Source organism: Homo sapiens, chromosome 15 (assembly GCF_000001405.40).
Source record: "Homo sapiens chromosome 15, GRCh38.p14 Primary Assembly".
In the NCBI taxonomy this organism is placed as follows: Eukaryota; Metazoa; Chordata; class Mammalia; order Primates; family Hominidae; genus Homo; species Homo sapiens.
This window is the reverse complement of record NC_000015.10, coordinates 91,961,727-91,973,726: the sequence shown is the minus strand read 5'-3', so window position 1 is coordinate 91,973,726 and position 12,000 is coordinate 91,961,727. Positions and strand designations below refer to the sequence as shown.

The window sequence follows — 12,000 nt, the reverse complement described above, 5'->3', positions numbered from 1 at the left end:
GCATCCGCAGCCTCTCCCCACTAGATGCCAGTAGCACTTCCCCTGTGTTCCAACCCTGTTATGACAGCAACCAAAAATGAATCCAGACACTGCCAAACGTCATGAGGTGCAAAAGCACCCAGGTTGAGAAGCTCTGCCCTAACTCGCCCTCGAATCCTGCAATCGCTCACTCAACTTCATTCCCTTCAAACGCACCATGATTTTAGACACTCAGACAATACACCAGCTTCAGCCCCCCTTCTTCCTGCTGTTGCATCTGTTTTTCCAGTCAGCCACCAACTAAAGATAATTGTATCTTGACTTGTCACAGGTTTGAATTTAAATTCCACCCCTTACTAGCTGTGTGTCCTCTGACAATGCAGGTAACCTCGCTGTGCCTGCTCTTCATCAGCAGAATGGAGATAATGGTATCTCAGAGGGCTGCCGTCAAGTTCAAAGACATCCAGTGTGAAGTGCCTGGGAGGAGCAGGCACCTGAGAATTCATTCGTTCCTTGGATATCCAAGACCACTTCTTCTCTGGGAAATGAGAGAGCAGAGGGGTTGCAATCCCCACCCTTTTGCCTCAGTTCCCCTGCCCCAGGGCACTGCCCGTTGCCCTTTTCTTTTCTTTTTGAGACGGAGTCTTGCTCTGTTGCCAGACTGGAGTGCAATGGCGTGATCTCGGCTCACTGCAACCTCTGCCTCCCGGGTTCAAGCGATTCTCCTGCCTCCCTAGTAGCTGGGACTACAAGTGCATGCCACCATGCTTAGCTGATTTTTGTATATTTAGTAGAGACGGGGCTTCACTATATTGGCCAGGATGGTCTCGAACCCCTGACCTCAGGTGATCCGCCTGCCTCGGCCTCCCAAAGTGCTGGGATTACAGGCATGAGCCACCATGCCCGGCCCCACTGTCCTTTTCTATGTATGTGTGGACAGAGGGGCAGTTCATCCACAGTCAAACCTGGAGGACCGAGGCAGCACCAGGAACCACACCAGAGGCCACGCAAGGGCATTCCCTGGGCCTCTGTCCTGACCTGGAGGACAAGGGCTCATCACTGCAGCACCCTTTCTAATAAATCCACCGTACTGAAGATCGATCGGTCAGCACGTTTCCCTGGTGCCTTGAGCCTCAGTCTGTTTGAGGTCCTGTAACAATACAACAGCCTGGGTGGCTTATAAACAACAGAAATTTACTTCTCACAGTTCTGGAGTCTAGAAGTCCAAAAGAAGGCGCCACCAGAAGATTTGGTGTCTGTTGGAAGGCCACTTTCTGGTTCACAGATGGCATGTCCTAGGTGTACCCTCACGTCATGGAGAGGGCGAGGCACCTCTCTGGGGCCTCTTTTATAAGGGTACTAACCCCATCATGGGGGCTCCTCCATCATGACCTATTCGAGTTCTGTTGAAATCTAACCCACCTTGGGTTAGGATTCACACAAACATTCAGACCATACCACCTTGGTTCATGTCAGCACCCTCATCTCCCATATCCACCTCCCAACCCAGCGCAGCCACCTGTCTGAAGGTATAATCTCTTAATGGAGACTTCTCCATACGACTTCAAATATGGTAGACGTTTTCCAATATGGTATCATAGGTATAGAGCTCTACATAAAACCCTCTCCCTCACCCCTTTATATAGTCAATTCTCATTATCCAAGATATAGGTTGAGCATCCCTCATCCAAAAATCCAAAATCTGAAATGCTCCAAAATCCTTAGTTTTTTGAGCGCCAACATGACGCTCAAAGGAAATGCTCATTGGTAAGGAATATAATGCAAATATTCCAAACTCATAAAAAAAAATCCAAGATCCAAAACACTTCTGGTCCCAAGCATTTCTGATCAGGGATACTCAAACTGCAGTTATGTTCTAGAAAGTCTCCACAAACACTGAACTGTTGAATACGGAGCCACTGCTGAATACGGAGCCACTGCTGCTAGGGGAAATACAGGGTTAGGTTCCTGCGAGCCTCTGTTCACAACATTTTCATCAACTCATCACCACATAACCTTGTGTTAAGTGTGTTTCTGTTTAAACAAACCTTATTTAATGTATATCTTTGATTCATTAACATGGAGCTCATGGCAAACAATGCTGTAACTCATGCCTGCATGAAGCTTCTTTAACACACATATTTTCTCTGTAAGGCAAATCACAGGTGTCCTGTGCTTAGGAACACTAGACAGCTCTTCAGCACTGTGCTTGGGGCCTTTTCAAACAGTAAAATCATCAACAAAAGCACAAAAACATGGAAGAATATGACATCAAATAGACAACAAAAAGGATACTTGTTTACAGCATGAGAGCTGAAACAAGAAGGAAGAGGTTGCTTTTTTTTTTTTTTTTGAGATGGAGTCTCGCTCTGTCACCCAGGCTGGAGTGCAGTGGCACGACCTCGGCTCACTGCAAGCTCCGCCTCCCGGGTTCACCCCATTGTCCTGCCTCAGCCTCCCGAGTAGCTGGGACTACAGGCACCTGCCACCATGCTCGGCTAATTTTTTGTATTTTTAGTAGAGATGGAGTTTCACTGTGTTAGCCAGGATGGTTTCGATCTCCTGATCCCATGATCCGCCCGCCTCGGCCTCCCGAAGTGCTAAGATTACAGGTGTGAGCCACCGCGCCCGGCCAAGGTCACCTTGTTTGACCTCAGCTGGGAACAGGCACTTCAGGCAACTCAAATGTTTCCCCACCCTGCACATGTCTTCAAAGGTGCCGTGAGTATTGATTTGGGGGCTACAAATACATTTTAGCAAATAGGCAAATTCCCAAATACAGAAACCACAAATAATGAAGACTGACTACATATGCCTATACCTATTTAAGGATTTGCACACATGCACACACACACACACAAACACACACACCCTTCATCTGGTTGGGCATTAGTAGCATGAGGACGGCAGACGCCCCTTGTACACAGGTGGAAGCTCTGTCTACTCTTCTAGCCTGAGAAGACTGCCGCCTGTCAGAAGGAAAACTTCATGTTCACATGGGCACTGTCTAACCAAAGCAGGGCACTGCACAGTGGCAGGATACACCCTGGATGCCTGTTTTTTGGTCAGGGGAAACCCAGAGGTTTGAAGGAGTAATGGGAGAAATGGGTCCACTTAAGAAAGAACCATGTTGTTTCATTAGGGCTCCTTGTGAGTCCCTGGGAGCTGGATACCACTTGTCTCCTACCTACCCGCTTTCATTCTCCAGGAGCACCTCCTGGTCACAGGCTCAGCAAACGCTCACAGACCTCAAGTTCCATGTTGACTCTCGTGTGTTGACTACAGAGAAAGGAGAGGACTCCACAACTCTGCCCACCCCAAAGGCACCTCCCATCAGCGGCTCCAGCAACTTTGCTGGCTGCTCCAGGGTGTGATGGAGCCCAAACTGCCCAGGCTTGGGGCCAGCACACCAGCTGCGGATTTCATCACCACTCTCCTTGTTTTAGAAACAGAGCCCAAAGACAGGCATGCAAATATGCTGTGCTCTGGCCAGATTTTAAATAATACACTAAAATATTAGTTCAGAACATACTCGGCCTCTCTCCTACATGTGCTACATGTGCTTGCTCACGAAGTGTTTTGAACAGCGTGGGGAGAAGGTACTGTATTTCAATGCCTCTTTTTAGTTTTAAGGCTGTAAGTTTTTTTTGTTTTGTTTTCTGCTAGAGCCAAAATGTTTTTCTGGGTGAGCAGAAATAGCCTTTTTGCCTTTTAACATTTCGCTGAGGGGAAAAAACACTACACTTCCTTGCTCATCATGGCAAATGTTATGCTGGAGGATTTTGACACACACAGAACTAGCTAGGAAGTTAGAGTCCAAACTGATGACTGCGCCCAGGTCAAATTTTCTTCTACCCAGCAATGCAAAGGGCTCACCCTACCCAATTCCCCAGCAACTCATTCTAGGTCTGTGGACCAGCCCCCGCCACCAGGAAACCATAGACATAGCTAGATCTCTTCCACTGAAAAATGGGGACTTCTCTTGGGAGAATATAAGGGTGAGCCCATAAGATGCCAGGCCCAACAAGGGAGCACTTCTACCAGAAAAGGAATTCTATAGATGGAGTCTTATGAGTGTTATGAAGTAAAAGGAGATTTTGGTAATGTTTTTGATAGAAAGACAACAATAATTGTAACAAGAGGCCAGGCACTGTGGCTCATGTCTGTAATCCCAGCACTTTGGGAGGCCAAGGTGGGTGGACCACCTGAGGTGAGGAGTTTGAGACCAGCCTGGCCAACATGGAGAAACCCCCTACTTTACTAAAAATACAAAAATTAGCCAGGCATGGTGGCACGTACCTGTAACCCAAGCTATTTGGGAGACTGAGGCAGGAGAATCACTTGAACCTAGGAGGTGGAGGTTGCAGTGAGCCAAGATTGTGCCACTGCAATCCAGCCTGGGCAACAGAGTGAGAATTCATCTCAAAAAAAAAAAAATTATATATATACAGACAAACACAAGAAATTTTACTCCACAACAACAATTAGTTCTTAGTATCCACATGTAGTAGTCAGATATTCTACACCACTTCTACCCCAAAAAATGATTTATTCACTCATTCATTCGACAAATATCTACTAATTGCCTTTATGTGCCAGGCACATATTTCTGTACATGTGCTGTATACAACGAAAAGATGAGCTTTACCTCTCAAAGTGTGTAGCGGGGACACAGGTGTATGTGCAACAGATACAATCACACCAAAAAATGATGCAAGGTGACAGTGCTAAACACAGTGTGGACCTGTTAGCAAACTCTTGTGTTGGAGGTAGGTGGAGGCAGAGATGGCTTCTGAGAGGAAGGGACCTCTGAGCTGACTCTACATGGAGCAACACGAGTTTGCCAGATCCCCTGGGTAGGGGAAAGAGAAAGGAGACTCCATGCAGAGGAACCAGAATGTGCCAAGCAAAAAGGCGCCAATAAACAGCGCCACCCTAAGGGTAACCACGGACAGTGCAGTGCCTGCTGTGAGCGCACAAAGAAGCTGGACACGTCGTGAGTGCCGTAAATACTGCGGCTGTGTGAGCACACGTGCGAAGGCTGTGCTTGCGGGTCTGCGTGTGCACCCTTTCTCTGTCTGAAGAATGGGTTGGGGAATGAAGCTTCACATGGAAGCAGGGGTCGCTTGTTTCTACCCTGGCTTCTTCTCACTCCTTGTCTGTGATGGAACTTCCTTTGTTAGCACCAGAATTTGATGCCACTGGTCCCCACGGTGGTTTGTGGAGCCCTATTCACCTCACCTAGTGAGAAGACATGATAAATTAGAGGCCCTGTTCTAGCCAGGACACCTCCATGCTGCATAATAAGCACAGGCTGGAGGATTCTAGAGGGCCACTCTATGACTCACTCTCTGTGCTTACCAGTCCAAGCAGAACTCAGCAGAATCTACTTGAGAGAAAGCTCGCAGGAGACTAGAAAGTCATTTTAATGATGCCAGCTAAACTTCTCTTTCCTCTCCTCCATCTGCTGTTTTCCCCAGGTGGAGAAGTAAAAGACTGTAAGGTAGGGAGGGGGCATACAGACTTTTCCAGTCTCTGATCCGGCACTGAAACTCAGGGCACACGCTCTCCTCTGTGGGCATGGATGATTACGTCCTCTGTCTGAGAAAGGAGACACGCACTGTGCTTTGATGGATAGGCCGTAAGTGGCTTCCCTGGGTACTTTCCAGGGCGACTAGGCAGGGGACTCTAGAAAATGTTCAGGATGGAAGCATCTGAACAAGTAAGGCAATCAGAAGGGAAGGAAGATAGGGACATTTCAAAGCCATCTTGCATCTCTGCAGGAAGAGGGGAGCAAAGAGGAGGGAAGAGAGCCACCTTCTTGATTTAGCTGCCTGTGGATTTGCTCTTGAGAGCTCTTGGTGCTGAATCCTGCAGACAAAGCAGACAAGGAAAGAGCCTATGCCAGCGGGATTTGGGAGAACACTGAAGTGACCTTGACCTTTAGTCCTGCCACTACGTCCTCGTGGTTCCCCAAAAGTAGGCTGTTTGAAAACAACACAGCCAAAAACTGTGCTATTGATATTTGAGAGACAATATGATCCAGGAAAACAGGAGAGATAACAAGGTCTGGAAGTCAACAGAACAAGGACAAAACAATTAATCCATCTGTAAAACGGGTTTAATTTATTTCATATGGGATTATCTGTGTAATAGGTGTCTTATCCATATTGATTTTTATTATATGTCGAGTGCTGTCTTTATCCTGTGGCAACGCTTCTGCGTTATGTCCCCACAACGGCACCTCAGTCCTACAGGAGAGGTGGGGAGACAAATGATACTATTAGCCAAAGAAAAGCATAACCAGAGGAGGGACATTCTACCACAGATCACCATATAAAGCTTCAAGCAGGGGGAGTTATTTGGACTCTTATGGGTTAATCTATACTGCTGTTCATTTCTGTGTAGAGCAGTTAATCTAGAAAACAGTACTCTCTGCTTCCTCTTATACCTCTGCAACATGCTCTGATAACTAAAAACCTCTCTTATTGTCATTTTAATATTTTAAATGAATAAAAATGTAACAACTCACTGGGTTTATTTAGACATAGTTTCCTACCATCTAATAATCTTTTTGTTTTTTTAGAAAGGATAAAAAGCAGCACAAATAGAATGAGGTATTTCAAAACTTCTTTAGAGCCTAACTCTTCTGGATCATTTACAAAGACAGTTTTAAAGCCCTTTATAAAGTTATCTGAAAGCAGAGTTCAAAAATACAAATTGTATCTCATCTCTCTTGCTGTCAAAAAAAAAAATCCCCAAAAAACTGCACCACGCTTTTGTCTTCTCCTCCATGACCAAAGCTGCCCTTTGGAAGTAAAATGCCACACAACATAATTGGTGCAGCAGCCCAGCTCTCTGCAGAAGCTAGGGTTAGACTTTTTTACATTCTACAAAGCGCCACCTTATCTTTCTGCTTCAAGTTGAAATCACCTTTTTCCACGAACAGTGCCAGATGCTCTGTTTGAGAAGCATCACCAAAGCCCAGGCATGAATTCCTTCCACTGCTGAGACATTCTAATACACCAGGTTAACTGGGATCTGAGAATGGTTACTGCTCCTAAGGGTCCCATTTAATTAAATGTTCCTACAATTTGCATTTGGAAAGCACATCATCATCACTGCCTGTTGCTTTAATGAAAACTTGAGTCCTCAAAATTTGGGTGCTAGACACAGTATCCTGAAAGGATCATATCCTGAAATGTTCAGAAGCGCAGTTTTGTGCCCAGTTCTAACAGGGATTTTTCTGTCCCATGTACCCTGGGGACAGTGATGTTGCATTGTGCACAGTGGGAAAAACATCTTCCTCAGAGATGCTGGTACTGATGATACATTAGTGGGAACTTGTACACAGGCCATGAGAATCATCGTCAGCTAAAATCTGAGCTGTCCGTCCCTCCACTCCCCTGGCTACAAACCTCTTTGTCTGCACTGGTGTCAGTGCTGGCCTCGGTCAGTACAAAGCCTGAACTCTTTTCTCTGCGTCCCAAATCTGTCACAAAGCAAAAATGTCCTGACCTCATCTGAGCTACGGGTGCAGTTATGGTGTGGCTGGGGCTGCCAGCCGAGGCCCCTGTTTCTGTCTGGGTCATTTCTCAACCTATCTCGACTCAACCTTGTTACTTCAGATCAGAGCTGCCCATAATTCGCTGGGCACAAATGCCCTGCGGCTGCCAAAATGACGAGGCTCTGATGCCTTCTGGATGACTCACGGAATGAACCAGGAGGGGATGAAATACACCAGTTCTTAACAAAATTGCATGAAAATGACACCGAATTCAGAAAGCTTCACACAATCTCCTTGAGGGCTCCTATTTGAGTTTCTCTCCTCCCTTCAATGAAAGCAAGGAGCTGGAATCAATGTCCTCAGGGCTGGACTGGCTCAATCGACTAAGGGCTTACTCCTTCCTGATCCCTCCAGGAGTACATTCTGGCAGTAGAAGCAATTTAGAGCAGGTGTGCACACCCACACTCACTCCTACGAATTTCCCTCCACACACACACACACACACACACACACACACACCCTGCTGGCTGCCCACAATTCAAGTGCACCTGTAGACAAAAGATTCCTTTGGACTTGGTGCCTCTCAACAAAACCCTCCTGGTAGGCAAGCCCTGCCAACTCCCACTCCCTAGGCAAGGCCAGGCTGGTGAGAGGAGGAAGGATGAGCAGGCAACATAGAAAAACAAAAGGGAAGGGAAGTTAGGGGGTGGGGTGGGAGTCTCAATCCTGGATTCTAAAGTGAACAGTCAATGAAGGATATTTTTAGAGAGCCTCAGAGGCCCAAATGAGATTGTTCCTCACAATGGAGGATATTTATTTGGACCTGTCAGGTCTAGTTTTAAAAGTCCTTCTTCAATACCACATAGAATCCAGGGATTTGAGCAGGATCTCAGGCCTCTAAATCATTACGGGACATCCAAACATCCAGGGGGATAAATGTTTCCTTTGGGGATCCCTGAGGAGCCAGGGCTTGGCTTTGGGTTTCCCAAGCACTGGGATGCTGGTGGTGGGAGAGGGGTCTGCATATGCGTTTCTCTTTAATCATGTGTCTTCTCTCCAATTCTCCTGTTCTCTAGGGCACTCAATTTTAATGTATACCTCTTCCCCTTCCCAACAGATTCTAAAAACCCTAATCATCCACTGAGTATCCCCACAGCCCCCTCTCCCTGGGTATGTTTGCTGTCATGGGGGAGCTGAGGTCCCCAGTACCTCTTCAGATGGTGGTGATGACTGTAATCCTCCCAAAAGCTGGCATGGCACACGCAGAAAAGTCTAGAGGTAGGACTGCTGGCCACACTCAAAAACTCGTGGAAAGACAAAGTACGGGACAAGGTAATGGATAAGGCCTGGATTCCAGACCACACACTGTCACCTGACGCTCTGTGACCCTGAGCAAGTCACTCAATTCTGTGAGCTGCCACTTCTTCATCGCAAAAGGGAGGTATCCAAGGAAATAGCTTTCTAGAACATACTCGAAGTACATTAAAAAAAAAAAAACTATCTAATTTTAAAGGATGTTAGTACCCAGCTTGCTTCTGCTTCTTCCCAACACACTGCTCAACTCTCTTTCTCTACCAGAGATGGGACGGAGCTGTGGCCAATGAGGTGCCACTTCCGGCCTGGTCCACAAGACTTCCCATGCCCCTTCCACCAGGGTCTTTTCTCCTCCTGCTTGATGCCGACAAGCATAGCAACCTTGAATAGGAGGAACTAAATATAGCAACACTAACATGGCAAGAGCTACTACACAGAGCTGCCCACATATTAGTAAAACCTGTTCTGGAGTCACCTGAGCATAAAAAAAAAAAGCAATGATGCATGTGAGGGTTTGCTTCTTGCAGTAGCTGTCAGTCGAACAAATACATTTACCATGCCCTAAAAAGGGTAGAAAGTATAAAGCACTATCAAATATTTCACCTAAAAATGACCAAAAACAAAAAAAAATTACAGATGACAAGGCCGTTGTATCTACTTTTAGAGCTCTGAGCAATCACACAGAAGTCTTGTGATTAATGGAACATTCCAGGTTCCATTACATTTCCAACAAGTTTCTACCACAGGTTTGCTTTTCCTGAAAACCTACTTTCATAAACTGAAAACAAGTAGGTTCCCCACCCATACTGAGAGGTGAAGCCAGCTGAGCTTCTGGGTCAGGTGGGGACTTGGAGAACTTTTGTGTCTAGCTAAAGGACTGTAAATGCACCAATCAGTGCTCTGGGTCTAGTTAAAAGATGGTGAACACACCAATCAGCACTTTGTAAAATGGACCAATCAGCACTCTGTAAAATGGACCAATCAGCAGGATGTGGGCGGGGCCAAATAAGGGAATAAAAGCTGGCCACCCGAAATAGCAGCGGCAACCTGCTTGGGTCCCCTTCCACGCCGTGGAAGCTTTGTTCTTTCGCTCTTCACAATAAATCTTGCTGCTGCTCAGTCTGGTTCTGCACTACCTTTATGATCTGTAATACTCACTGCGAAGGTCTGTGGCATGACTCCTGAAGTCAGCGAGACCACGAACCCACCAAAAGGAAGAAACTCCTGACACATCTGAACCTCGGAAGGAACAACTCCAGACGCATCATCTTTAAGAACTGTAACACTCACCGCGAAGGTCCACGGCTTCATTCTTGAAGTCAGCAAAACCAAGAACCCACCAGAAGGAACCAGTTCTGGACAGAATACAATTAATATCTACTGCAATAAAATCCCACGGTGTGATCCAATCAGATGAAATGTTATTTGGGGCATTGGTTCTCACTACCCACACCACTTTCTCATTAGCACAACATTCAGGAGTTAATCAGCCCCAGGCTGCTGCCGCCCCCCCCCCCCACCCTCCCCGAGTTAAACCCTCACGAGAGAGAAACTGTGGCAGGCCTGGTCTCCCTAACAGCTGAACAGGGTAGCCTCCATAATAACTGTCTCAGCACTGACTGACTGGTGAAGTTAAATATTAAAAGCTGAAAGCTGAAAGAGCCAGTGCCCATATACAAAGGCTGGAATGCAACAAAAGCCCACCAAGCATCTTGCCTAGGACTTTCCCGGGCCTCGAAGCACGACAAGATAACAAAGGAATTCTTAACAGGACCTATTTAGGATTAAACAGGTGTATTGGGGGTCTGAAGGAACTCCCCAAACCTCCATGATTTAGCAGGAGACAAGGGTAATCACCCCCAGCACCCGGACCCATTTAGATTAAGTAAATTTACTGAGGCTCCAGAGGAAGGTCTTCAGGAATCAGATCTTAGTTACAGATTGGAAGAAGTTAATCACTTATGTCTTCAGATGAATGCACACTTACACACAGACATACAGCTTAGAAAGTATATAAGCTCTGGAAAACTTTGTAATTTTGAGTTGGTCTGGCGATGTTTTCCAGGCCTTCTCCCTGTACCCGGCTCCAGAAATAAACTCTCTCCTTTCCCAGCTCATCTGCATCTCGTTATTGGGTTGTGAAAGTAAGCAGCCCGAGGACCCTCAGTTTGGTCCAGGAACAAAGCATCTGGTGTGCTGCTGGGGATGGGGTGCACTGGACAGCCTGAGATCACCAAGAGGCTCCTAAACATCACTGCTGGGCTCTCCGTTGGGCTTAGGACCTTCCACAGCCATTTCCACCTCTCATTCTCTCCTCCTTCCCCGGCTCCACTTCCCTCCTCAGCACCAAGTCTCTCCCATTGCTGTTTGGCCAGCTTTCAGTTGTTTCCTGTTTTCTTTCTCAGGCCACAGGAAATCCTTGCTCTTTTTTTTTTTTTTTTTTTTTTGAGACGGAGTTTCGCTCTTGTTGCCCAGGCTGGAGTGCAATGGCGCGATCTCAGTTCACCGCAACCTCTGTCTCCTGGGTTCAAGTGATTTTCCTGCCTCAGCCTCCAGAGTAGCTGGGATCACAGGCATGTGCCACCATGCCTGGCTAATTTTGTATTTTTAGTAAAGACAGGGTTTCTCCATGTTGGTCAGGTTGGTCTCGAACTCCCGACCTCAGGTGATCCATCTGCCTCGGCCTCCCAAAGTGCTGGGATTACAGGTGTGAGCCACTGTGCACGGCCGCTCTGTAATTCTTAAAATGTCCACTCTAGTCACTGCCTCATATGCTACCTCCCGCTGCAGTCTGCGGCATCTTCTGAGCCTGTCTGTATGACCGCCAGAGTTTGTTCTTGGGCCCTGCGAGCCTGAGATGGCTGCATCAGGACCAGAAGAGCTGAGCTCAACTTCTGACTCAGCAGCGACTACTTTGTGACCTTGAATAATTCTCCCCAGTCTTCTGAGTCCAGGTTTCCTCCCACATGATGGGAATTATAATACCTCTGTCCCAGGGTTTTCATAAAATCAAATGCATTCATTCATTCAGTACACATGTGCTGGGTCCCTTCCATGTTCTGAGAACCATCTCAAGCTTTAAACATGTAACAGTGAATGGGTCGCTCTCATAGAGCTGGCATTCTGGTGAGGAATGACAATAAGTAAATAAATGTATTTTATGCTAGATGGCAATATGTGAAGAAAAACAAAGCCAAGTA

General features: G+C 46.7%; 1 protein-coding gene and 1 long non-coding RNA gene across 4 annotated transcripts in view; both read right to left on the bottom strand.

The window, feature by feature from the left end:
- Window positions 1-12,000, bottom strand: part of SLCO3A1 (solute carrier organic anion transporter family member 3A1) — a 318,728-nt gene that overhangs the window by 198,709 nt on the left and 108,019 nt on the right. The window lies entirely within an intron of this gene.
- Window positions 6,083-9,799, bottom strand: LOC124903557 (uncharacterized). The gene is made up of 2 exons (XR_007064764.1): window positions 6,913-9,799; window positions 6,083-6,230 (listed from the first exon to the last, which is right to left on the bottom strand). It is a non-coding gene; the product is annotated as an uncharacterized LOC124903557 (long non-coding RNA).